At 40.1% G+C, this 27999-nt stretch overlaps 1 protein-coding gene and 1 long non-coding RNA gene across 8 annotated transcripts, besides 2 other annotated features; one reads left to right on the top strand and one right to left on the bottom strand.

The window, feature by feature from the left end:
* Positions 177–22827, bottom strand: GEMIN2 (gem nuclear organelle associated protein 2). Of its 5 annotated transcripts, NM_003616.3 has the most exons (10): positions 22675–22827; positions 22237–22321; positions 19062–19151; positions 18551–18610; positions 14607–14720; positions 12114–12158; positions 8802–8870; positions 5082–5192; positions 3431–3489; positions 177–710 (listed from the first exon to the last, which is right to left on the bottom strand). In NM_003616.3, the coding sequence occupies exons 1-10, from the start codon at positions 22809–22811 to the stop codon at positions 671–673; spliced, it is 810 nt and encodes a 269-aa protein (NP_003607.2). In that variant the 5' UTR covers positions 22812–22827; the 3' UTR covers positions 177–670. The 5 variants fall into 5 exon arrangements, with proteins under 5 accessions (NP_003607.2, NP_001009183.2, NP_001009182.2 ...); NM_001009183.2 differs by lacking the exon at positions 3431–3489; NM_001009182.2 differs by lacking the exon at positions 12114–12158.
* On the top strand, positions 22321–27327 carry LOC105370459 (uncharacterized). Of its 3 annotated transcripts, XR_943772.3 has the most exons (4): positions 23090–23983; positions 25060–25222; positions 25334–25463; positions 26779–27327. It is a non-coding gene; the product is annotated as an uncharacterized LOC105370459 (long non-coding RNA). The 3 variants fall into 3 exon arrangements; XR_001750717.2 differs by lacking the exon at positions 23090–23983 and having other exon boundaries at positions 25002–25222; XR_943771.3 differs by lacking the exons at positions 23090–23983; positions 25060–25222; positions 25334–25463 and adding an exon at positions 22321–22688.
* Positions 22548–22767: an enhancer, noted in NCBI's record as "active region_8285". NCBI's record gives its function as "activates an Ori minimal core promoter by ATAC-STARR-seq in GM12878 lymphoblastoid cells {active_cell/tissue: GM12878}" and the evidence as "EXISTENCE:reporter gene assay evidence [ECO:0000049][PMID:35858748]".
* Positions 25848–26365: an enhancer, noted in NCBI's record as "H3K27ac-H3K4me1 hESC enhancer chr14:39579989-39580506 (GRCh37/hg19 assembly coordinates)". NCBI's record gives its function as "activates a minimal SCP1, AML or CMV promoter by ChIP-STARR-seq in naive H9 embryonic stem cells {active_cell/tissue: H9 hESC(naive)}" and the evidence as "EXISTENCE:reporter gene assay evidence [ECO:0000049][PMID:30033119]".

Raw genomic sequence — 27999 nt, 5'->3', positions numbered from 1 at the left:
CTTGGTGGCGGACACCTGTAGATCCAGCTACTCGGGAGCCTGGGGCAGGAGAATCACTTGAACCTGGGAGGCAGAGGTTGCAGTGAGCTGAGATCCTGCCACTGCACTCCAGCCTGGATGACAGAGCGAGACTCCATCTCAAAGAAAAAAAAAAAAAAAAAAAAAAAGTGCTGAGCTTAAAGGGAAAAATGTTTAATTTTATTGCTGACTATGAACACATTGCCATTTAATCCAGATTATTTTAATTCTGATGCTAAGGCCATCCATTGTCTTTTGTTAGGAGTCAAACAAAATTTTAGTAACCAAAACATATTTTCAATAAAATTTTATATGTATATAAGTAAATAACAAAACAACAAAAAACAAAAAAAGAACAAAACAGCACCAAGAACCTATGTAAAATTTCATCATACAATTTCTATGCAAGCTGCTTGATTACAGAAAACTGTTCAAACTGTTCATCAAAAACTGAGTGGGATTTTCCATTGATATTTCAGATATTCAAATCAACCCATATTCTGAGTATCAATCTGAATTGCACAGGTTAAGATGTGAACCCTTCACATAGTGTTGAAGATGTGTTGAAATCTGTACTTGAATTGGCATTGTTTTCCTCAGAGTTAGGCTGCCTTCATGAGAAATATCTTCTATCCCTGAGAGATCAGCTACATCAAGATGGCTCATCAGCTAAATCACGTTGGTCAAAATACCTAGTAAAAAAAAAACAAAAAATTTATGTATAAAGATATTAACTGTAGCACTATTTTTAATAGCCAAAGACCATAAGCAACCCAAACGTCCATCAATAAGAAACTGGTTAAATAAGCTATAGTATGTCTACATAGTGGAAAATTATGAAGCCATAAAAAGAGAAATGAGGGAAATATTTATACTGCTAAAGTATGAGGAACGTATTTATACTGCTAAAGTATGATTTCCAGGATTTATTAAGTGAAAAAAAACGAAGTACAGAACAGATTGTTCTGTATGCTACCTTATGTGAGTATGTGTAGGACTGCCAATATACGTGTTTGTTTATATTTTTCTTTTCCTTTTTGAGACAAGGTCTCACTCTGTCACCCAGGCTGGAGTGCAGTGGCATGATCATGGCTCATTTCCCAGACTGGTCTTGAACTCCTGGGCTCAAACAATTCTCCAGCCTCAGTCTCTCGAAGTGCTGGAATTACAGGCTTGAGCCACCACATGCGGCCTACTTATACTTTTAAAAAGAAACAATGAATGAAAAGATGAAACAAAAATTAGTAATACAATGGTTAACTAGAGGAGAAAGGAAAAAAGAGGATAATGAGGATAAAGATGGATGCTAAAATACTCCAAATGTACCTTGAATTATAATTTTAACTTTGGCAAGGTAACTATTTTATGTAATTATAAGATTAAATAAAAAGGAAAATCACTAATCAGATTTTGTCATGGCTCACTGCATTCTTGAACCCCTGGACTCAAGCAATCCTCCCACCTTGACCTCCCAAAGCACTGGGCTTACAGGTGTGAGTCACTGTGCCCAGCTTTCCTTTTTTTTTTCTTTTTTCTTTTTTTTTTGAGATGGAGTTTCGTTCTTGTTGCCCAGGCTGGAGTGCAATGGCACGATCTCAGCTCACTGCAACCTCCACCTCCCAGGTTCAAGTGATTCTCCTGCCTCACCATCCCGAGTAGCTGGGATTACAGGCGTGAACCACCGTGCCCGGCTAATTTTCCTATTTTTAGTAGAGGCGAGGTTTCACCATGTTGGCCAGGCTAGTCTTGAACTCCTGACTTAAGGTGATCCACCCGCCTTGGCCTCCCAAAGTGGTGGGATTACAGGTATGAGCCACCATGCCCGGTCCTTTTTTTCCTAAACTTTCAAATCTTTGTGTCTTCTATTGTAAAGCTGTTAGCTTCAGAACCTTTTGTAGTCTAGAACTTTTTCCATTTTTATCTAACTTTTTGAGGGCAAAAAATACACTTGAATGTTTTTGCTTTCATAATTGCATAATACTGTAAAATCTCAACTGAGGCAGTCAGAAACTATACTTGTCTGAGGTTTCATTAATTACTGGTTTGCTGAGCTACCAATTACTTAACCTTTCTGAATCTGTGTCATTATCTGTAAAAGGAAAAAAATCAAGTCCAACAGAGCTGAAAGGAAAAAATTTATTAAAACAAAAACAAAAACAAAAACACAACTCTGATCTATTGTAAAGAGTAGAGATACTATACATAAAGTAAGTAGGGCAATGCTATATCATCTCATTTAACTGCTACTACCAACAGATGAGGTAGGTATTAGCTTAATTTTTGATCAGCATAGTTAAAAGTTTAGCTCCGGAGTCAAAGTTGCCTGGGTTTGGATCATTACTCTAACACTTACTAGCTTTGTGATGGTAGTAATATTATTTAACCTCTCTCTGCCATGGTTTCCTCATCTGTAAACTGTTAACAGTACCCACCTTAGAAGGATTAAATGGGTTCCTCACTAAGAAAAATGCTTGGCACAAATTGCCCAGTAAATGTTAATTATCATCAGCAGCATAATTATTGTAGATCAAGAAACTAGATATTGAATATGTGAAAATATGGAAACAAGATTACTTGCCTTCCCAATATTTAAGTATATTATAAAGCTTTAAAAAGGTACTGGCAATGAAATAAAAACACTGATCTATGGAACAAAAATATGTCCAGGAGGAGACCTAAAATAAATATGTGTGTTTTACTGCCTGGCCAATAATGGTGAAACTCCGTCTCCACAAAATTACAAAAATTAGCCGGGCATGATGGCAGGTGCCTGTAAGCCCAGCTACTTGGGAGGCTGAGGGGGGAGAATTGCTTGAACCCAGGAGGTGAAGGTTGTAGTGAGCCGAGATGGTGCCATTGCACTCCAGCCTGGGCAACAGAGCGAGACTCTGTCTCAAAACAAAACAACAAAAAAAGTTTTCAAATAAATTCCAAGAAGAATTTCTATGTAAGAAATGAAATAAAACAGATACTAAATAAAAATATGCCACAACTGAAAATGAACGCAGGACACAGGCAATTAAACAAAAATGCAGGCTGAATGCAGTGGCTTTACACCTGTAATCCCTGCACTTTCGGAGGCTTAGGTGGGAGGATCGCTTGAGCCCAGGAGTTTTGAGACCAGCCTGGGCAACATAGTGAGACCCTGTCTCTACGAACAATTTTTTTTAATTAGCCAGGTGTGGTGGTGCTTGGTTGTGGTCCTAGCTACTCAGGAGGCTGAGGTGGGAGGATTGCTGGAGCCCAGGAAGTTAAAGCTCTAGTGAGCTGTGATTGCGCCACTGCACCCTAACTATAGCAACAGAGTGAGACTCAAAAAAAAACCAACCAAACAAAAACCAAATGTAATAAATACGATCTAACCTCACTGACCTCACTGATAAATAATAAAGAAGCCAAGGATTAACTATACCTGCTAACCAAGCAGATTAATAAATTCAAAGCAGGAACCCTCTCATCATCTTTGCTATCCTAAAAAAAAAAAAAGAAAAATTTAAATATTGTCTGTTCCTATTACTTTTGAAATAAATTTTCTATTAAGATGTAAAACACGAAACATGAAAACTTTATTATATGACAGTAATCATCATGTGGAAATAGGAGCCCTCAAAGAAAAAGCAGAGAACTGTAGAGTTAATGATTCCTTGAGAAACATCTAAGACTATCTTTTAAATAAAGATTCTGAATAGGGAAAAAAAAATAAAGAGGGATCTAAGGGGGATAACTTGGGGGAAATTTTTCCCTGGTTCCTACTAAAGGAACAATAAGAATCCTGTGTCTTAACTGTACAGTGATGAATATATATATATATATTCATATATATTATATATGTGTCTTAACTGTAGTGAATATGTATTCATATATAATAAATATATATTAATATACATATATGAATAAATATATTTATCACTGTAGTCAAGACACAGGATTCTTATTGTTCCTCTATATAATGCATACAATATATGTGAGGATATATATAGAATATATATGAATATATATAATATATATTAATCACTGTACAGTCAAGACACAGGATTCTTACTGTTCTTATATATATTCATTACTGAATTATATAAAGATATATATATAAAGATATATATATATACACACACACACACACACATATATATACACACACACACACACACACACACACCAGGTGCAGTAGCTCATGCCTGTAATCCCAGCACTTTGGGAGGCTGAGGCAGGTGGATCACTTGAAGTCAGCAGTTTGAGACCAGTCTGGCCAACATGGTGAAACCCTGTCTCTACTAAAAATACAAAAATTAGCCAGGCATGGTGGCGGGCACCTGTAATCTCAGCTACTCTGGAGGCTAAGGCAGGAGAATTGCTTGAACCTGGGAAGCGGAGGTTGCAGTGAGCCGAGACCGCACCATTGCACTCCAGCCTCGGTGACAGAGCGAGACTCCATCTCACAATAAAAGAAAAAAAAAAAAAAAAAAAAAAGGCTGAAGCTACAGCAGCCATCTTGGATCATAAGATGAGCATGAGGATGAAAGCCACATATGACAAAACTCAAAGGTGTGGGTGGGTTACTGCCATCTTAGTAAAAATCTAATTTTTTTACCTACTTCTTTTTTGAGACAGAGTCTTGCTCTGTTGCCCAGGCAGGAGTGCAGTGGTGCAATCTCAGCTCACTGCAACCTCCGCCTCCTGGGTTCGAACGATTCTCCTGCCTCAGCCTCCTGAGTAGCTGGGATGACAAGCACCCACCACCACACCCAGCTAAATTTTGTATTTTTAGTAGAGACGGGGTTTCACCATGTGGGCCAGGTTGGTCTCAAACTCCTGACCTCAGGTGAGCCACCCGCCTCAGCCTCCCAAAGTGCTGGGATTATAGGTGTGAGCCACCACGCCCGGCTCAGACTTCTTTATCTCAGAAAACATTTCCATATTATTTAAGCTACTATTATTTTGGGCTTTACAAATCTAATTGCCACCAATAAAATATTCCATGTGTTTTCCTATTTCACTGAACTCCTTCTTTACCACCATATAAATTGGTGGGTGCTTTTAATTTTAAACAGTAAGTTGCAACTTACCACTAAGAGCCTCACTTCAGAGCACCTTCTTGCAAGCTGCCGAATCAGTGAATGAGCCTCAGGTAACAAAGGCTTTTCAAGACAAGCCAATAAAGCATAAAGCCATCTTCCCTAAAAAAAAATTCAAAAAATTAATATTTAGACAAATACTGAACCAGAAGTTTATTTTTTAAATGTCCAATGTTATGCCTGATTATCTGCTATGAATAAATTCATAGAACATTTAACTATATTATGTTTGGGTATAGACAAGAAAGCCTCATTTGGAGAGCCAGGTGTTATCTCTTGTATCCTATAATTACAGACACAGGACATTGGATACCTCAAAATATTCCCTGATCTCCAAAGAGTTTGTTTCAGATATTCTTATGATAGGAAGTTCTCATTTGTAAGCAGAACACTACATTAAGATGAATATAAATACTGGAAAAAATTAAGATACATTTTTTTCTTTGTTCTGTATGGACAGATATAGAAATCATTTTATAATTGTATAATTTTGTCCTCTGGGGACATACAAAGAAACTATACTACAGATGAAATAATCTTTTGACACTTTTATAAATACTTTGACAGGCTCAATGTATCCCCACTCCCTTTTAAAATGGGGTTTTCAGCTACAAAATGAATACATATTTGATGCAGAAAAACTGTGAAGAATACCACAAGCACAAGAAAAAACCTGCAGTCCCAACATTCCAGATCAAACTTTGATTCACTTTAAAAATGTTCTTGTTTTTCCTATTCGTATGTACAACTTTCTTTTTTTTTGAGACAGAGTTTCACTCTTGTTGCCCAGGCTGGAGTGCAATGGCGCGATCTCGGCTCACTGCAACCTCTGCCTCCCGGGTTCAAGCAATTCTCCTGTCTCAGCATCCTGAGTACCTGGAATTACAGGCATGTACCACCACACCCGGCTAATTTTGTATTTTTAATAGAGACCGGGTTTCACCATGTTGTTCAGGCTGGTCTCGAACTCCTGACCTCAAGTGATCTGCCTGCCTTAGCCTCCCAAAGTGGTGAGATTACAGGCGTGAGCCACCATGCCCGGCTGTACAACCTTTTTTCAATACAATTTCATCAGTTGTAATATCATCTTGTAGCCATCTTTTTTATTTATAATACATAATAAAATGTTTACCATGTTGTTTTTGTCCTTTTTCTTTTTTTTTTCGAGATGGAGTCTCGTTCTGTCATCCAGGCTGGAGTGCAGTGGTGCCATCTCGGCTCACTGCAACCTCTGCCTCCCAGGTTCAAGCAATCCTCCTGCCTCAGCCTCCTGAGTAGCTGGGACAACAGGCGCCCGCCACCATGCTCAGCTAATTTTTGTATTTTTAGTAGAGATGGGGGTTTCACCATGTTGGCCAGGCTGGTGTCGAACTCCTGACCTCAAGTGATCCGCCCACCTCGGCCTCCCTAAGTGCTGGGATTACAGGAGTGAGCCACCCCACTCAGCCATCCCTTGTAGTTAAATGGGATTAACAAGGGAATGTTAAGTGTCTTGTTTAGAGTATTTAATAACATTCCCTTGTTTAATCTCATTTAACAACATGGGGAAAGTTTATTAAGTATTGCAAGTAAAATGGTGACAAAGGGTATGTATATTCATCAAGGTTTTTCAGATATGATCACCAGATTGTATCCTGGAAAGGTTATACCAAATTTGTATTTCCACCAGTAGTATATACAACTTTGTTTATTCTAAGCAACATATCACTTCGGGGAAACCTAAAAAATATTAGGACAAAATTTAAATAGCAATTTATACAACACACTAAATGGGTTCCTCAGGCAAACTCAAATCAATAGTTAAGACTTTTTCTTACAGAAAAAGATTCAAATCCAGGTTTCTTTTACAAATTGTGGAATTCTTTTTCTATAAAAAAAAATTATATGTTTCAACTTGACTCAAATTTTAAGGGATACATTTACTATGTAAAGCTAGCATTTAAATTAAATATTTAATTTAAATTAAATATTCTCTACACTTGTCCCAGCTACTCAGGAGGCTGAGGCAGGAGGATTGCTTGAACTTGGGAGGCAGAGGTTGCAGTGAGCCGAGATGGCACCACTGCACTGCAGCCTGGGTGACAGAGTGAGACTCCATCTCAAAAAAAAAAAAAAAAAAAAAAAACAAACTTGTCTGCAATGAGATAAGGAGTTTGTACCTTGTACCAGGATATACATCAACTCTTTCATTGACTTTTTTTCTCCAAGACTTTCTCAATGAAGGAAGTAGTATGTTGATTTACATTCTAGTGTTTCTTATTTGACTACAAACAAGTATAGTTCAGATTATACATATGTATATACACACACACACACATATACAAATATAAATATAAATATAAATACTGGCTGGGTGCAGTGGCTCACGCCTGTAATTCCAACACTTTGAGAGGTGGAGGCGGGCAGATCACCTGAGGTCATGAGTTCAAGACCAGTCTGGCCAACATGGAGAAAGCCTGTCTCTACAAAAATACAAAAATTAGCTGGGTGTGGTGGCAGGTGCCTGTAATCCCAGCTACTTGGGAGGCTGAGGCAGGAGAATCACTTGAAACCAGGAGGTGGAGGCTGCAGTGAGCCGAGATCGCGCTACTGCACTCCAGCCTGGGCAACAGAGGGAGATTCCATGTCAAAACAAACAAATAAATAAAAAATAAATAAATACCGTAGCATCACATCAAGTACAGTCATGCATCACTTAATGAAGGGAGATATATTCTGAGAAATGCATTGTTAGGTGATTTTTGACCCTGGATGAACATCATAGAGTATACTTACACAAACCTAGATGGTATAGTCTACTATACCTAGACTATATTGCATAGCCAATTGCTCCTAGGCTACAAACCTATATAGCACATTACTATACTGAATACTGTAGGCAACTGTAACATAATGGTAAACATTTGTGCATCCAAAAAAACCATATATTTATTTCTTAAGATAGGGTCTCACTCTGTCACTCAGGCTAGAGTGCAGTGCAGTGGCACAATCATGGCTCACTGCAGCCTCAACCTCCCTGGCCTTAGGTGATCCTCCTGCCTCAGCCCTCCCTAGTAGTTGGGATTACAGGCATGAGCCACTGTGCCTGGCCAGATCTAAACATATTTAAATACTGGAAAGGAGCCGGGCTCAGTGGCTCATGCTTGTAATCCAAACAGTTTGGGAGGCCAAGGTGGGAAGAACACTTGAGCCTAGGAGTCTGAGATCAGCCTGGGGAACATGGTGAGACCTCGTCTCTATTTAAAAAACACAAAAGGCCGCACACATGGTGGCTCATGCCTGTAATTCCCAGCATTTTGGGAGGGTGAGGAGGCAGGATCATTTGGACTCAGTTCAAGACCAGCCTGGACAACACAGTGAGACCTTGTCTCTAATAAAAAAAACAAAAAACAAAAAACAAAAAAAACTGGGCGTGGCTGCATGCGCCTGTAGTCCCAGCTACTCAGGAGATTGAGGCAGGAGGATTGCTTGAGCTGGGGAGATCAAGGTTGCAGTGAGCTATGATTGTAATACTGCACCCCAGCCTGGGTAACAGAGCGAGACCTTGTCTCAAAAAAAAAAAAAAAAAAAAAAAGAAAAGAAAAAAAGAAAATGTGCAGTAAAAATACAGTATTATAATCCTATAGGAGCACCATTGTATATGTGGCCCACAGTTGACCCAAAACGTCTAATTTTTGCCTACATTATGAAAAGAAAAACATGCAATACTACCAATTCTGGAGTAAAGTCTCTTTCTCCAAACCAATTACTCAGATATTCCAAGACACTAGTTACTGTTGCCTAAAAAAAAAAAGAGGGGGTGGAGAAGAGTTGTATTAATAATAAAACATGAATTCAACATGAGTTTCATTAAGTTTATTTAGAAAGCAACTCTGATGTTAAAAATGGCCTCATTCTTTAAACTTTCAAAGAAAGCTAATTTGTTTGACTCTAATTAGTTTGATTAGGCGGCTTATCCAATGAGGCTTTTTTTTTTTTTTTTTTTTTTTTTTGAGATAGAGTCTCACTCTGTTGCCCAGGCTGGAGCGCACTGGTGCGATCTTGGCTCACTGCAACCTCCGCCTCCCGGGTTCAAGCAATTCTCCTGCCTCAGCCCCCTGAGTAGCTGAGATTACATGCGTGCACCACCACGTCCGGCTAATTTTTGTATTTTTAGTAGAGACAGGGTTTCTGCATGTTGGTCAGGCTGGTCGAACTCTCGACCTCAGGTGATCCGCCCTCCTCGGCCTCCCAAAGTGCTGCGATCACAGGTGTGAGGCACCGCGCCTAGCCCCAGTGAGGCTTTTAAAACAAATATTTTCACACTTTCAAATATCAACTAACACCTTGGTTTAAATCCTAGGATTTAGTTTGTAACTATTAATAATTTAGTTTGTAACTACTTGAAAGACTTCACAAGGTTAAAAGAAAATGTATTTGTGGCCAGGCTCAGTGGCTCTTGCCAGTAATCTCAGCACTTTGGGAGGCCGAGGCAGGTGGATCACTTGATGTCAGTTTGAGACCAGCCAGGCCAACATGGTGAAACCCCATCTCTACTAAAAATACAAAAATTAGCCGGGCATGGTGGTGAGTGAATGCAGTCCCAGCTACTAGGGAGGCTGAGGCCGGGGAATCCCTTGAACCTGGGAGGCAGAGGTTGCAGTGAGCCAGGATTTTGCCACTGCACTCCAGCCTGGGCAACAGAGTGAGACTCTGTCTCAAAAAAAAAAAAAAAAAAAAAAAACAATGGCACACCTGAGGTCAGGAGTTTGAGACCAGCCTGGCCAACACGGCAAAACCCCGTCTCTACTAAAAATACAAAAATTAGCCAGGCATGGTGGCGGGGTCTGTAATCCTAGCTACTCGGGAGGCTGAGACAGGAGAACTGCTTGAACCCAGGAGGCAGAGGTTGCAGTGAGCTGAGATCCTGCCGCTTCAGTACAGCCTGGGCAAAAGGCGAAACTCTGTCTCAAAAAAAAAAAAAAAAAAAGATGTATTTGTAAAAATACCATCAGTTGGCCAGGCGCGGTGGGCTCATGCCTATAATCCCAGCACTTTGGGAGGCTGAGGCGGGTGGATCACAAGGTCGGGAGACAAAGACCATCCTGGCCAACACGGTAAACCCCATCCCTGCTAAAATACAAAAAATTAGCTGGGTGTGATGGTGTGCGCCTGTAGTCCTAGCTACTAGGGAGGCTGAGGCAGGGGAATTGCTTGAACCTGGGAGGTGGAGGTTGCAGTGAGCCAAGATTGTGCCACTGCACTCCAGCCTGGCGACAGAGCGAGACTCCCTCTCAAAAAACAAAACAAAACAAAACAAAACAAAAAAACCATCAGTTTATTTCTAAATTCAAATTAAATCAAAGTACAAATCTGAATAAAAATTTAGGTGGAGAAAAATCTGTTCTTAAACTATACAGATGGATTTATCAAACTCTTGAAAATAATCTCTGGTTTATTCAAATACAGTTGATGGTTACAACAAAAATGACACTGATGGAATTTAGTATGACTGCTACAATATCTTAATGCAAATGATTAAGTAACACTGTCAGCTTGTGTATTATTTCCAAGAGAATATCACCCACAAAAAAAATTGTTGGCTGGGCCCAGTGGTTCACACCTGTATTCCCAGCACTTTGGGAGGCTGAGGTGGGAGGATCGCTTGAGCTCAGGAGTTCCAGACCAGCCTGGACAACACAGTGAGACCTTGTCTCTACCAAAAATAAACAAAATTAGCCAGGCATGGTAGCACATGCCTGTGGTCCCAGCTACCAGGAGGCTGAGGTGGGAGGATTGCCTGAGCCCCAAAGTACAAGACTGCAGTGAGCCAAGATCACATCACTGTACTCCAGCATGGGCAAGAGAATGAGACCCTGCCAAAAAAAAAAAAAAAGGCTTCCAAAGGTACCCAATGCTATGTGAAGATAAAATTAAATTTTTATTTGCTTTTTAAATGAATAAGAGTCCTTACTCCTAAAAAACTGAAGAACCAAACTCCATAATTCTTCCCTTTTGATCCAAGAAATCATATATTTCAATCTTTCTTTTTTTTTTTTTTGAGACAGAGTCTCGCCCTGTCGCCCAGGCTGGAGTGCAATGGCACGATCTCGGCTCACTGCAACCTCTGCCTCCCAGGTTCAAGCGATTCTCCTGCCTCAGCCTCCCAAATAGCTGGGATTACAAGTGCACACCTCCACATCCAGCTAATTTTTGTATTTTTAGTAGAGATGGGGTTTTACCATGTTGGCCAGGCTGGTCTCGAACTCCTGACCTTGTGATCCACCTGCCTTGACCTCCCAAAGTGCCGGGATTACAGGCATAAGCCACCGCGCCCGGCCCATATTTCAATCTTAATAGAATGTATAGGACATCTAGAACTAGAAATAGCAATCTAACCTTAGTACAGATGCCCCTGAACTTGCAATGGGGTTATGTGCTGATAAACACATTGTAAAGTTGAAAATTCCTAAAATGGCTGGGCATGGTGGCTCATGCCTGTAATTCCAGCACTTTGGGAGGCCAAGGTGGGTGGATCAGTTGAGGCCAGGAGTTCGAGACCAACGTGGCCAACATGACAAAATCCTCTCTCTACTGAAAATACAAAAATTAGCCAGGCATGGTGGGAAAAAAGGAATCCTAAACTGAACCATTGTAAGTCAGGGACCTTGTATTTAATTCAAACCCCAGAATCTAAGACTTATAACTGAAAGCTACAGAAATGAATACTCTAGCACCATGATTAAGACAGAGCATGAGCTCTGGAGTTAGATCTACCTGGCACTGAATCTCAGTACTGCCATTTACTTGCTGAAAAACCACCTGCAAGTTACTTAACCTCAAATGCTGTTTCCTCATCTATAAAAAGTAGTTATCAATAATAACTCTCCATAGAGGGTTGTAGTAAGGATTAAATAAGAACCATTAAAGAGCTTAGGACAAAGTCTTGCATACTGTAAGAATTCAGTATATGTATTAACAATTCAAATACTTTCACACACAATGCAAACAAAAGAATGCATATATCTCTATTATTAATTTTACCTGATTCATTCTGCTAACAATACTAAGCAAGGGAGGAAAACCAATCTGAAAGAAAAAATGAGACTGAATTTTACTAAATGGTATTATAAGCTTCATTTTTTTTTTTCAAACTGGTGAATTTCTTGCCACACTGTTGTTTAGAAACAAAGAACAAATAAAAGAAAATTCTTTCATTGTCCATAACAATGAGACATTCCGGAAACTACTATGTTTGTAATGCGGAAGAAAATAACGCCTTAAATTTTGAATATGTAATTTTTTTTTTAGATGGGGTCTCACTCTGTCACCCAGGCTGGAGTGTAGTGGCGCGATCTTGGCTCACTGCAACCTCTGCTTCCTGGGCTCAGGTGATGCTCCCACCTCAGCCTCACGAGTAGCTAGGACCACAGGTGCATGTCAACACGCCCAGCTAATTTTTTTGTATTTTTGGTAGAGATGAGGTTTTGCCATGTTGCCCAGGTTGGTCTGGAACTCCTGAGCTCAAGTGATCTACCTGCCAGAGCCTCCCAAAGTGCTGTGATTACAGGCATGAGCCACCTCACCTGGTCTGAATTTGTAAATTTTTAAATAAAGTATGATTTTAGTAAGTAAAATGTTAAAGACTAAAAATTTTTTACATGATAGTACTTGAAAAAACTAACTTATTAAGTATATCCAATAAAACTGTAACATTGATAAGATGACATTAATATGTTGTATACACCATTTCAAAATCTTCAGCTAAAGCTAATATTTTCAAGAATTAAGGACACTTGAATTAGAATGACATTTTTAAAACCTAATTTGATTCAATTTTTAAAAGTCTACTTTGGAGTCTGAGGCTGTGATTGCTAATTATGAAAATACCACTGATTTGTGAGAAACTTAAGAGGATATACATTAAACGCTTACTTCCTTAAGGGTTTTTTTTAACATGGTGTATTTTACTTGTATGTATTCTCTGAAAATAAGCTAAATAAGTAAGTTTTAATTCTTTATAAATTAAAAACCATTTTTGGCTAGCCATGATAGCTCATGCCTATAATCCCAGCAGGAGGATTGCCTGAGCCCAGGAGTTTCAGGCCAACCTTGCAACATGGTGAAAACTTCTCTCTACAAAAAAATTTTTTTAAAAAATTAAAAAACTTATCGCTACAAAAAATTTAAAAATTAGCTGGGTGTGGTGGTGGGTGCCTGCTGCCCCTGGTATGTTGAAGGCTGACGTGGGAGGATTGCTTGAGCCCAGGAGGTTGAAGCTGTAATGAGCTATGAGTGCACTACTGCACTCCAGCCTGGATGACGGAAGAAGACCCTGTCTCAAAAAAAAAAAAAAAAAAAAAAAAAAAAAATATATATATATATATATATATAGCTATTTTTGAAATGTAGCATATGTTAAGGATATCATCCAAAAGATCAATTGGTTATATAGAAAGAGTACCAAATTAACTTCCCTAAGATTTGAGTCTATTTATACTCCTGTACCACGTCTAAGAGTGCTTGTTTCCCCAGCTCTTGTCAATATGGTGTATCAAACTTTCTTGGCCAATATGTTACCTGAAAAATAGCACCTTGGCATAGTTATGTTATACTTCTATTACAAGTGATTTTTGGCATCTTGTCATATAAGAATAATTTTATTTCCTTTCTGTGAGGTATCTATATCCTTTGGCTATTTTTTCTTGGGCAGGGGAGGGGTGATTCTTGGTCTTTTTATTGATTCTTGGGGCTTTTTACATTTTTAGGAAAAATTAGTTTTAAATGTGAAAAACACAATGTGGCACCATATAGCAAATAATAAATACCTGTTGAACTGAAAAGAACTACATGCTATAGGGAGTAAGCGCTAATGCAGAGGCATGCACTGGATTCTCAAGGAACACCTGCAAACTTGGGGGCAGGTAAATCCTGAAGGACAAGGAGTTGTCTACATAACTTATGATTACAGCCACATGAATTTTAAAGATATCCTCAACATTTCATCTTTAGAATATGTGATTTATTTTTTACAGGCCCATGAAGTGATAGATGTGATTATGCATTTTAAAGCATCTAATTGTGTCGATTTCCATTTTTTCCCTGGCTACTCATAACACTGTTTGCCTGATGCCTCATCATTTAAAAAAACTATGAATCTTATCCAACTCATAAAATGATTACCAAGCCAAACATAAGGGATATGAAGCCAAACTAAAAAAAGTCACAGTAAATTGTTTCAGAAACTAAGCTGTTTTGTTAGGTTGAAGAGCTAATAAACTAAGTCTGGGTTGGCAAACATTTTCTATCAAGAGTCAGACAGCAAATATTTTAGGCTTTGCAGGCCACATAAAGTCTCAGCCACATATTATTTGTTTCTTTTTTACTCTTTCAAAACCTAAAAACAATCCTTAGCTCATGGATATAAAAAAGGCCATGAACTGGACTTGGCCCAGGGTAGAGTTTGCTGACCCCTTATATTAAGTGGTGCACCAAAATTAAAATGCTTTTTGTTCTGTTTATCCACACAGCCCTTACTTGTACATAATCTATTCCAGGACTTTCATTTGTGGCTGGTCCAACAGCCCCGTCAGCACATAACTTTTCACCCAGACAAAATTTCTTCCAGCCTTCTTCATCTTCAGATTTTGGCTAAAAGAAAAAAAAAAAAACTGATTTATTCCTGTGTATTAATTTTTACACTGAACAGTAAAAAAAAAGAAGTTAAGTCCTTCCATATTCCCATTACCGCAACCCAAAGATACGGAGCCAGTTATGGGGAGAATCTCTGCCCCCAAATTTGTATGTTAAAACCTTAAACTCCAGTACCTCAGAATGTGACTGTATTTGGAGACAGGGCCTTTAAAGAAGTGATTAATTTAAATTGAGGCCATTAGGGTGAGCCGTAATCCAATCTTACTAGTGTCCTTATAAGAGGAAATTTGGATTCACAAAGAGACACCAGGGACTCCCACACACAGAGGAAAGACCACGTGAGAAAACAGGGAGAAGGTGGCCCTATGCAAGCCAAGGAGAAAAGCCTCAGAAGAGACCAACCTTAGGCCGGGTGCGGTGGTTCACGCCTGTAATCCCAGCACTTTGGGAGGCCGAGGCAGGCGATCACATGAAGTCAGGAGTTCAAGACCAGCCTGGCCAACATGGCAAAACCCCACCTCTACTAAAAATACAAAAAAAAAAAAAATTAGCCGGATGTGGTGGTGCACACCTGTAATCCCAGCTACCCAGAGGCTGAGGCAGGAGAATCACTCGAGCCTGGGAGGCGGAGGCTGCAGTGAGCAGAGATTGCGTCATTGCACTCTAGCCTGGGCAACAAGAGCGAAACTCTGCCTCAAAAAACAAACAAACAAACAAAAAGAGACCAACCTTGCTGCCACCTTGTTCTTTGACTTTCAGCCTTCAAGACTGAGAAAATAAATACATTTCTGTTGTTTAATCCACCTAGTCTGTTATGGCAGCCCTGACAAACATAGTGCCTAAGTGGCTACACAATATGTGGGACATGTTGTTTTTCCTTATTATTACATTTTTTGAGACAGGGTCTTGCTCTGTCGCCCAAGTTGGAGTGCAGAGGTGTGATTACAGTTCATTGCAGCCTGAATCTCGGGCTCAAATAATTCTGCCACCTCAGCCTCTTGAGTAGCTGGGACTACAGGCATGTGCCACCATGCCTGATAATTTTTAAATTTTTTTTGTAGAGATAGTTGTCTCACTATGTTGCCCAGGCTGGTCTCAAACTCCTGGCCTCAAGCAATTCTTCTGCTTTGGCTTCCCAAAGTGCTGGGATTACAAGTGTGAGCCACTGTGCCCAGCCAAGATGTGTTTAGTTTGGACAAGACTTTAGTGGACACTGACAGACAATGGTGTGTCCAAAAGAGGATGATAAAGACAGAAATAAGTATGGGGGAAAAAATGCACCAAGAACACTTAATAGAATGAAGGATATTTATCCCATGTAAAGAGACATGATTACATATTTCACATATTTGAAGGGTTGTCCAGTCAAAGAAGAAACAGATCTACTCATGCTGCCAGACAGAAAAAGCAGGACGCAGGACTATTTGGGAGAAGCATTCAGCTCAATATAACCTCCTTAACAAAATAACCTTTGTTTGTACATATCACCTTGTATATTACTTTGCATAGGTGCATTTTCCCCCTAGGGATAAGTAGCTTTCATTAAATCCTTAGGATGAATCACCTGAGGTCAGGAGTTCGAGACTAGCCTGGAAATATGGTGAAACCCCGTCTCTACTAAAAATACAAAAATTAGCTGGGTGTGGTGGCAGGCACCTGTAATCCCAGCTACTTGGGAGGCTGAGGCAGGAGAATTGCTTGAATCCAAGAGACAGAGGTTGCAGTGAGCCAAGATTGTGCCACTGCACTCCAGACTGGGCAACAAGAGCAAAACTCCATCTCAAAAAAATAAATAAAATAAAATAAAATAAAATAAAACCTCACGATGAACATGAGACCACTACAAAGTTAAACCCTATTGTCTTGGAATAAGGTTATCTACCTTTTCCTAACACTCTATTAGGTCAGAAGCTGTTTCTGTTTCAGTTAGTACTGAATATCCTGATTATTAAATATAGCACATGCTTAAATTATTGGATCAATTAATAAACAAATGTTTATGTTTTCACACAGTTGCCATCACAGTGTACTTTATTTTTTAAATAATTTAAATAGAGACAGGGTTTTGCCATGTTGCCCAGGCTGGTCTCGAACTCCTGAGCTCAGGTGATCTGCCCACCTCAGCCTCCCAAAGTGCTGGGATTATAGGCATGAGCCACTGTGCCTGGCTCAGAGTGTACTTTAAAACATTTTCATTTTATTACTTATATGATGTTTGCATTTGCCATGACAAACACTTAAAATTGCTACATAATATTCCACTGTTCTGATGGACCATAGTTTATTGAATCAATTATGTTAGGTCATTTCCATTTTTGACAAAATTTTATCAAGTCATAATGTTACTGATGTGGCTTCTTTTTTAGTTAGTGGGCATGCACCCAAAAGGCCTTCCGCTAAGTAAGAAAAAAAATATATTTACCTACCTAGCCCTGTCCCTACTACATACATACATCCTTGGTACTAGGAAGGCACCATTGCATAGTCAAAGGCACACAGGCTTTAGAGACAGACCAACTTGGGTTTGAACCTTAAGCATACCTTTTGTGTGTTTATGTGCGCATGCTTCTTTGATAGAAGGACTAGCTATACCTTTTACAAGTTAAATGACCATTGGCAAGTGATAAGTTACTTCCCTTCACGCTTTTCCTGGAGCAGAGCTTCCAAATGGTATGCAGAAGCATACAGAGATGCCATATACTGAATCTCTCAGCTTTCGGCTGGTTTCAGGAAGAATATGCAAGCAGTCATTTATTCTAATGTGTCACCATGTAAAAGATATCAGGAAGCACTGCCTAAAGGAAGCTTCTAAAATCTAAAATCTATGAACTACCTGAAACTAAAATGTTGTGCATAGGTGCATTTTTTTTCCCTCTGAAGATAAATAGCTTTCATTAGATTCTACGAAAGAATATGAAGTCCCCTAAAAGGTTAAAAACTACTGTCCTGAGACAATGTATCATCTTTCCAACTCCTTTTTTCATTTGGTAGTCCTGATATATCTACTAAAGGGCTTAAAGTTATATCTAAACTGATAAAATATAGGACATATGCATGACAATATACATGACAGGTTTCACTTATATGTCACTGGAATTGTGACACAGACTCATCACATTAAGCAGAAGCAGAATCCATTCACAAGTTCTGTAAACATGTGAGTTTACTGCATGGCACCATCACCTCATCAGGAAAATCCATTAAGGCTTTATTCAATTTTTTTTGTAAATATTGAAAATGTATTTATTTCCTAGAAAGTAAATGTCTAGAAGAATCCTTAAAAACTTGTGGAAGTTTCACAGTCACCTATCCAAAGTCCCCCAAGATATTGTGAATTAAAATTGACATGAAAGGCTGGGTACAGTAGCTCATGCCTGTAATCCAGCACTCGGGGAGGCTAGGGCAGGAGGATCACTTGAGCCCAGGAGTAAGAGACCAGCCTGGGTAACACAGGGAGACCTTGTCTCTACAAAAAATTTTAACAATTAGCTGGGCATGGTGGTATATGCCTTAAGTTCGAGCTACTTGGAAGGCGGTGGTGGGAGGATCACTTGAGCCCAGGAGGTCAAGGCTGCAGTGAGCCATGACTGCACTCTAGCCTGGGAGACAGAGCAAGACCCTGTCTCAAAAAAAAAAAAAAAAAAAATTTGTCATGAAAATCTATACTTTCCAGGCTACTAATGTAATGAATTGTTACTATTAATGGTATATTGAAGAGAATGAAAGTAACACTGACTAGGCAAGTGAATCTTTAACGACTGGAAGTAAATATAGACTCTTTCAATCAGGTATACATTGTACATCTTAAAACTGAGAAACTTACATACCATTGTCACATTACTATCCAACTGTTGTGATTTCCAGTGACTTCTATGTTTGTTCACATTCTAAAGGAAGAAAACTTAGACATTAGATGGTACTCTTCAAAAAATGGATAACTGAAATCAGTTTCTGCACAAAATTGTAACCATCTAAAACTTGAAAAATGGGAAAGGTGGGAGGGGGTGAGATGTAAAAGACCATGTATTGGGTACAGAGTACACTACTTGGGTGACAAGTGCACCAAAATCTCAGAAATCACCACTAAAGAACTTATCCATGTAACCAAAAACCACCTGTTCCCCAAAACTATTGAAATAAATAAACAAACAAATAAAAATAAACAAAACTTAGAAAATATTTCAAACTGTATCATGTCTAATGATTATAAAAATAATTTGGTAATTAATTCATGAATATTCTGTATACTTTAGGATCATAAATTTTATTTTTCCAGCTACAGTCTAAGAACAGAAATAAATCCAACAGGGGCTTAATTAGATTAAATATGACACTTACCTGTCGAACAGTTGAAAACTGTGCCACTTGTTGCTGTTGCCATTGAAGTGTTGGGGAATAACCTTCAGGGGCGGGTTGGCATCCTGAAAGCTAGAGATCAAGTTCACAAATATTAGGATCAACATTAGTGTCAAAACTAGAATCTCATGCCTCTGCAAAGCAAAAGTAAAACCAAGATAAAGTGTATAATAAAATAAAGATTATACAAGAAAATAAAATATTTTTGCAGATGTAAAAAAGTAGGCATTTCACTTTATTATTTATATCTCAGTTAAAAATATTAGGGAAAGAGCCTTAGTCACCTTAATCAGAGAAATCTGGAAAGGTTTATAGTTGGAGTTTCTATGAAATCTAAATGACATGAGCCTGGAGAATATGATCTAGCCCTACCTGCCTTTCTAGAATAGCAAAACAGAAACAAAAAGAGAGATATACCACAAATAAAGAATTCTGGTATGAAATACAGTTAGAAGGAATGAGTTCTAGCATTCAATAGCACAGTAGAGTGACTACAGTTAACAATAATTTATTGTATATTTCAAAACAGCTAGAAGATTTGAATGTTCCCAAAAGAAAGAAATGATAAATGAGGTGATGGCTATCCTAATTACTGATTATTATACATTGTATGCATGTATCAAAATATCACATATACTCCATAAATATGTACAATTATTATTGTGCCTGCGTGATAAAGCATGAAATTATGATTATTATGTATCAATAAAATTAAAAATAAGAACTTTGGTATGGGCAAAATGTACTTAAAGACGCTTAACTTTAAATTGTCTACTTCTGTTTTCTTTTTTTTTTTTTTTGAGACGGAGTTTCGCTCCTGTTGCTCAGGCTGGAGTGCAATGGCCATCTCAGCTCACTGCAATCTCCGTCTCCCGGGTTCAAGCAATTCTCCTGCCTCAGCCTCCCGAGTAGCTGGGATTACAGGCATGTGCCACCACACCCGGCTAATTTTGTATTTTTAGTAGAGATGGGGTTTCTCCATGTTGGTCGGGCTGGTCTTGAACTCCCCACCTCAGGTGATCCGCCTGACTTGGCCTCCCAAAGTGCTGGGATTACAGGTGTGAGCCACTAAGCCCAGCCATACTTCTGTTTTCTAAAAGAGCACATACAGCCTGAGCAACATATCAAGACCCCGTCGCTACAAAAAATACAATTAGCTGGGCACGGTGGCACATGCTTGTCATCTCAGCTACTGGGGAGACTGAGGTGGGAGGATGGCTTGAGCCCAAGAACTCGAGGCTGCAGTGAGCTATGATCGTGGCACTGTACTCTGGCCTGTGCAACAAAGCGAGACCCTGTCTCAATCAATCAATCAATCAATCCATCAAATTAGGTATATTAAGACATTCTGTTCCATTAAATGTCCATCAACTAAAAAACCCTGAAGAGGAATTATAGGAAAAATTACAGTGTCTGAATTAAAATTTCCTGATTACAAGTATCAGAGAAACTACTTTGAGCATGAAAAGGAAATTACTATCAACTATTTAAAATGCCACTCTCCCAGGCGCCTGTAGTCCCAGCTACTCGGGAGGCTGAGGCAGGAGAATGGTGTGAACCCGGGAGGCAGAGGTTGCAGTGAGCCGAGATCGCGCCACTGCACTCCAGCCTGGGCGACAGAGCGAGACTCTGAGACTCCATCTCAAAAAAAAAAAAAAAAGAAAAAGAAATAAAATAAAATGCCACCCTCCTTTGAGCTTAGGTTAAATAGCACCTCCTTAGAGAGACCTTTGCTGGCCAGGCGTGGTGGCTCACATCTGTAATCCCAGCACTTTAGGAGGCAGAGGCAGGCAGATCACTTCAGGTCAGGAGTTTGAGACCAGCCTGGCCAACATGGTAAAACCACGTCTCTACTAAAAATACAAAAATTAGTCAGGTGTGGTGGCACACGCCTGTAATCCTAGCTACTCAGGGGGCTGAGGCAAGAGAAGCTCTTGAACCTGAGAGGCAGAGGTTGTGATGAGCTGAGATTGTGCCACTGCACTCCAGCCTGGGCGAAAAATTGAGACGCAAAAAAAAAAGGGGGAAAAAGAGAGCCCTTCTATGATTCCTCTACAGTAGTTCTGTCATTTATTGATTATTATACATGCTTATTTTCTTCATAGCAATAATCACAATATGTAATTATTTGTTTGCTTGTTTACTCTCTGTCTTCCTCAGGAGGGTATGTAAACTCTACAAGGGTAGGAACCTTTTTTGTCTTACCCTCTGTTGAATTCCCAATGCCCGGCACAACCTAGTTGCTTAATTAAAGATGTGCTGGATAAATAAATAAATGAAAATGTCCAGAGTGTGCAAGTAGCTATAAAAGTGTAAGGCCGGGTATGGTGGCTCACACCTGTAATCCCAGCAGTTTGGGAGGCAGAGGTGGGCGCATCACGAGGTCAGGAGTTCAAGACCAGACTGGACAACATGGTGAAACCCCGTCTCTACTAAAAATACAAAAATTAGCCGGGTGTGGTGGTGGGCGCCTGTAATCCCAGCTACTCGGGAGGCTGAGGCACGGTAATCGCTTGAAACCGGAAGGCAGAGGTTGCAGTGAGCTGAGATCGCACCACTGCACTGCAGCCTGGGCAACAAGAGTGAAACTGTCTCAAAAAAAAAAAAAAAAAAAGTGTAAGACATCTGGGTTTCTATTCTTAAAAAAAGTGAAACTTGGTCAAATTCAGAACATGCAAAGCACACTAAGATTAAACACCAATCCAATAACTGGAAAAAGTTCCTTAAAAAATAAAGGGGCCAGGTGAGGTGGCTCACGCCTGTGATCCCAACGCTTTGGGTGGCAGAGGAGGGAGGATCACTTGAGGCCAGGAGTTCCAGACCAGCTGGCAACAGAGACTCCCTCTCTATAAACAAACAAACAAGCAAAAAATAAAAGATAACATAAGTAACCCATTTAAAGACTCCTTTGAAAGGACTGGATAATGTCCTGAAGTAAGATGGGCAACACTCCACAAAGGCTAGAGTTACAGAAAGCCTCTTTAGAGGCAGTAAATGCCAATTGTCTTTCTGAAGGAAAAAGTACAAGCGAATGTCTAACTTTGCACGGAGTAGTCAAATCTTACGTCATAATTGATGCTGTCAGATACTATAGGAAGAGCGTTAGTCTTTTAATTGGGGGGTTGGGGGTAATCTCCAGACGGTTAATAAAACTCACAGAAATATTCACACTTTGCTTCCTTTTCAACTTCTTTGGGTCAATTTGAGCTACCACAACATCTGGACATTGAGCTGCTTCGATCCTACAAATAAGTAATAAACGCGATAAATTAAATTTCTGTTGTGCTTTGCTCAGGTGTAGTAAAACAAGCGATCCACTTCCACAGTTCATTGTGAAATCAGAAAAAAATTCAGACTTCCAATTGAGGTACTAAACAATGTATTTCTGAAATTATCTGGATTGAAAACAAATCTAAGAGCACACATCTTGATACGTGCAATCACGTTCAACAGAAACTCGCCCACGTTAGGATGTAATCCAGAATCCTGAATAGACCTGAACTCGCAACAGACTGGAACGGGAATAGAGCACCGAGGGCTGTACCCAGGGGCAGGGCAGAAGACCAGCCCACCCGCCCAGGGCCGAATCACTCACTGGACCCGCCTCAGGTATTCCTGAGGCGTCCTCGGGGGTACCGAGGGATCGAAACCTTCCGTCAAGTCGCAAGGCTCTACCGGCAATAGCCGAGGCATCAACTCTTCCACTGCGGACTCCGCTGGTACCCACGCCATGGTTTTCAAACCAGCCAGTTCCGCTCGGCGCATGCGCCCATTCTAGGTCACAGCGCAGGCGTACTAATAGACACCTTAGGCGCGGAGCTGAGCAAGTGGCAGTTTAGGGAGCGTTAACTGCGCATGAACAAATTGCTGCTTGCCTCAAGGTTAAGGCTCCGGTGGTGTAATAAAGGATCTGAGAATTTAATTCCTAGCTGAATTGGTTCGAACGCGTTTCTGGGACTTTTACCCTCTGTTTTGTCTTCTAACGCTGGGTAAAGGCCGAGGGTTAGCAACTTTTATGCATCCCTAGTAGTGAGGGATCCTTAAAAATGTTTTTTGAATTAATGAACAATATTACTGTAATTATCATTCATGGAGCTCTAAATTCTTAAACTCTTCATAAACACATTTTCTCATTTGATTCTTAGAACAGTCTTGTGAAGTGGGTGGTAATATACCGCTCTCTTAGGGCAGGGACTGACCTTCCAAAGAGGAAGAACCAATTCCAACCTAGATTTATGCGATGCCAAATGAATGAAAAATTAATTTTCTACAGAAATTTCTAGTGCTTGACCACTTCAAAGATCACTGTATGTTTATTTGGAATGAATATTACTCCTAGAATAGCCAGCACTTTTTAATTTTTGTTTTAAAGAAAAATCTCTTCGTTTAAATACAAATAGTGAAAAAAATGAAACTAATGCTAACACCCAGAAATTAACAAAAATGTTAGGTCAATCTTGTTAGGTAGATAGTATTATTATCTCCATTTCATAGGTGAGGAAACAAGGCAAGAATGTGCAAGAAACAAGTATAATATCTGATTATTTCTAAACAAATACAATTGAGTGAATACAATTGACTTATTTTCTAACACTGATGTTTATTTTAGAAGGTTAAAAATTTTTATTTATGGCACTGCCTTTAGTTTGCAAGGAATTGATTTCAAACCAGGATGTAAGTCTAAATTGAAGATAAAGTGAGGATAGTCCTTAGCTTATTTAAGTACTTAATGCTTAGGAACTGTAACTAAACAATTGGGACACTTGGAAAGATATCACCTGGCTGCAAACTACAGTTATTTGGTTAACAAATTTTCACTGGTTTTGGGAAAAACAGACTTAGAATAGGGAGAAATACTCCTGTCGTCCAACATTTTGGTGATAATCAAGGACAAATTTGAAAAAGTAAGTAGTGACGTGAGGACTAAACTGAATTTTTTTTTTTTTTTTTTTGAGACGGAGTCTCGCTCTGTCGCCCAGTCTGGAGTGCAGTGGCGCAATCTCGGCTCACTGCAAGCTCCGCCTCCCGGGTTCACGCCATTCTCCTGCCTCAGGCTCCCGAGTAGCCGCCGGGACTACAGGCACTCGCCACCACGCCCGGCTAATTTATTGTATTTTTAGTAGAGACGGGGTTTCACCTTGTTAGCCAGGATGATGTCGATCTCCTGACCTCGTGATCCACCCGCCTCGGCCTCCCAAAGTGCTGGGATTACAGGCATGAGCCACCGCGCCCGGCCTGATTTTTTTATTTTGCCCAAATTCCTATCTAAGGGGTCTGGGGAGTCATGCCCTACAAATCATAAATTCTCATCAGATGGGTTTTATTTAACCCTATATATCACGATTTACTTTTCAACCTCACTTCGAAATGACATTACGAGACAAAGAAGAAAATAAAAATATTTGACCCCAAAACATGTTTCTTTGCCGTATTTTGAAATGGCCCTGCAAAGCTGTTCTTTGTGGAGGAAATTTTGCATCCGTAAAGAATCTTGGCCAGGCGCAGTGGCTCATGCCTGTAATCCCACCACTTTGGGAGGCCGAGCTGGGCACATCACTTGAGGTCAGGAGTTCGAGACCAGCCTGGCCAACATGGTGAAACCCCGTCTTTGGTAAAAATACAAAATACTACCTGGGCATGGTGGTGGGCGCCTGTAATCCCAGCTACTTGGGAGCCTGAGGCAGGAGAATCGCTTGAATCCAGGAGGCGGAGGTGGCAGGGAGCCCAGATTGTGCCATTGCACTCCAGCCTGGGCAACAAGAGCAAAACTCCATCTCAAAAAAATAAAATAAAATAAAATAAAATAAAATATTACCCAGCCTTGACCTCCCGGGCTCAAGTGATCCACTCACCTTGGCCTACCAAAGTGCTGGGATTACAGGTGTGAGCCACTGGGCCAGGCCACAAATACATTTTTTTTAATTTTTATTTTTTACTGTAAATTATTAGCATTTTCTTTCAATTTTTTTCTGGAGAAAAGGTTACCTTGCCAATCAACTACCAATGGAACAATGGCTAACATTGGAGTTTGTGCATAAGTATGTGTCAGAACTATGCATGGATTAAGGAAGAAAGGAGACAATAGGAGAATGGAACAAAGGTTGTCCTGGGAAATAATAATAAATTATTTTCCAAAAGAAGAGGTAATAATATAGCTTCGTGCTACTTCAAATCTAATTTTATTTAAAAGAATTAGTAATGATTTTTTGAGTGAAGTTTTCAGAAATTGCACTAAGTATTTTTTAATGCTTCAGTGAAATATGGAACACATGAGATAAGTTATATTTGGTTGATGAAGTTATTCTGAAAAAACGCTATTTGGAAAGGTGAACTTCTGAAACTACAATAACATTTCATCTATTCCCAGGAAGAAATATTCCTAAGGTACTGAACTACTTCTGGTGCCCTGTTTTTAGAGATTTATCGCCGGTTTTTAGTTTATGATGGAAAAATTCTTGTTTCAGTATTTCTCACACGATTGGTTAGCTGTAGGAGTTACATGACGATTGTGAGAACAGAACATTCTGTTGTGTGTTTATTGATGATGTGGCTGTTTATTGATGATGGAGGCATCTGTTAAGTCAACCTTACACAGCCAACTACAGTTTATCTCTGTCTCTGTGTTTTCTTTTCTTTTATTATTTTCCTTTTTTTTTTTTTTTTTTTGAGACGGAGTCTCGCTCTGTCACCCAGGCTGGAGTGCAGTGGTACTGCTCACTGCCACCTGTGCCTCCCGGGTTCAAGTGATTCTCCTGCCTCAGCCTCCTGAGGAGCTGGGATTATAGGCACCCACCACCATGCCCGGCTAATTTTTTTATTTTTAGTAGAGACGGGTTTTGTCATGTTGGCCAGGCTGGTCTTAAACTCCTGACCTCAGATGATCTAGCTGCTTCAGCCTCCCATGTCTCTGTGTTTTCTATCCCTTTAAGTGGCTCAGTTATTCTCAAATGTTAGTGTGTATAAGAGTCATCCGGCTGGACGTGGTGGCTCACACCTGTAATCCCAGCACTTTGGGAGGCCAAGGCAGGTGGATCACTTGAAATCAGGAGTTTGAGATCAGCGTGGCCATCATGGTGAGACCCCTGTCTCTACTAAAAATACAAAAAATTAGCTGGGCATGGTGGCGTGCACCTGTAATCCCAGCTACTTGGGAGGCTGAGGTGGGAGAATTGCTTGAACCCAGGAGGCAGAGGTTGCAGTGAGCCGAGATAGCACCACTGTACTCCAGCCTGGGCGATGGAGTGAGACTCAGTCTCCAAAAAAAAAAAAAAACTGGAAGAAATTATTTAAAATATGGAATCCTGTATTTTACAGCTATTTCTTCCAGAGCTTCTGTTTCTGTTGATGGGGTGTGGGGCTAAGAAACTGACATTTTAAAAGGCATTCTAGGTGGGATTTTTTTTTTTTGAGACAGAATCTTGCTCTGTCGCCCTGTTGCCCAGGCTGCAGTGTAGTTGCGATCTTTGCTCACAGCAACCTCCGCCTCTCCTGTGTTTGAGCGAGTCTTGTGCCTCAGCCTTCTGAGGCCACCACACCTGGCTAATTTTTGTATTTTTAGGAGACACAGGGTTTCGCCACATTCCAGCCCTCCGGCGCTGTTTTTCTCTTTCTCAGGGCTAAATCTTTTACATGGATTATCTCGTTTAGTCTTCACAATACATGGCCATTTAAGTGGTAGTATTGTTATCTTCATTTGCAGGTGAAGAAACTGTGCAACATGCCCAGATCATACAACAAGGAAGTAATGGAATTGAGATTCTATCCTGGGCGCCAAGCCATTGCTCTAAATCTCTATGCTGCACAAGATACAGCTGAGTAAAGATTAGTAACAACAAAAAAAAACAACAAAAAAAGACAAGTCCCAGGGAAGGTTCCTGTGAGTCTTTATGATCCACTGGCCATAAATTAGAGAGAGGCAATGAAGACTAAATGCGGAGAGATCCAGTTTGCTTCCTAGTCTTAGTACATTGCCATCTAGGCATGAGTAGTCTCCTTGTCTCCGTTGTCTGAGAATGCTATCCTCTGGCTCTGAGGTCCAGAGCCACTAAGAGAGAATGCTGACTTGATGTCAGAAAATCAAGACAAGGTCTAGTTTAATTATGGAACATGAAACAAAAACTTTACTCCTCTTTTGAAGTAAAAATGCAAATCTGTTCCGTTTTAGAGTGGGATTTCCCTCCTTTGTTATATGGCTTTTAAATTACTCATGTTCTTTACAAATCAAATAAATAAAAGATAAAAAGAAAAATAAATATGCCAGTAGATATTCATGTTTTCTTTGGGCCACTGTAAATGGTTTAAGGGCAAATCAACAAATTTCATTTGTTTAGGTTTTTTTTTGAGACGAGTCTCGTTCTTTTGCCCAGGCTGGAGTGCAGTGACGCGATCTCGGCTCACTGCAAGCTCCGCCTCCGGGTTCACGCCGTTCTCCTTCCTCAGCCTCCGGAGTAGCTGGGATTACAGGCGCATGTCACCATGCCCGGCTAATTTTTGTATTTTTAGTAGAGACGGGGTTTCACTGTGTTAGCCAGGATGGTCTCGATCTCCTGACCTCATGATCCGCCTGCCTCGGCCTCCCAAAGTGCTGGGATTACAGATGTAAGCCACTGGGCCAGGCCCCTCATTTGTTTAGTTTTATAAAATTAACTCTTAAATTCTGGGATTGGTCAGAGTGACAGAATGAAGAGATATTGGAGTATATCACTGTTGGGGCACTCTGTGGAATAGAGAAGATTGCTATTTGGGCCGAGCGTGGTGGGTCATGGCTGTAATCCCAGCACTTTGGGAGATCGAGGTAGGAGGATCACTTGAGCCCAGGAATTTGAGACCAGCCTGGTTAAACCCCATCTATACAAAAAATACAAAAATTAGCTGGGCATCCTGGCACACACCTGTAAGTCCCAGCTGCCCAGGAGGCTTA

This window comes from Homo sapiens, chromosome 14, assembly GCF_000001405.40.
Source record: "Homo sapiens chromosome 14, GRCh38.p14 Primary Assembly".
NCBI classification, from domain to species: domain Eukaryota; kingdom Metazoa; phylum Chordata; class Mammalia; order Primates; family Hominidae; genus Homo; species Homo sapiens.
This window is presented reverse-complemented; position numbering and strand designations above follow the sequence as displayed.

Bases quoted from the DNA above. Each gene is read 5' to 3' on its own strand.
- GEMIN2 (NM_003616.3), bottom strand. From the start codon at position 22,811: ATGGCGTGGGTACCAGCGGAGTCCGCAGTGGAAGAGTTGATGCCTCGG. The intron at 3,490-5,081 runs GTAAGTTGCAAC...TTTTTTTTTTAG, and splicing joins CTGAAGTGAGGCTCTTAGTG to GATAGCAAAGATGATGAGAG. The intron at 711-3,430 runs GTATAGTTAATC...TTTTTTTACTAG, and splicing joins TTAATCTGCTTGGTTAGCAG to GTATTTTGACCAACGTGATT.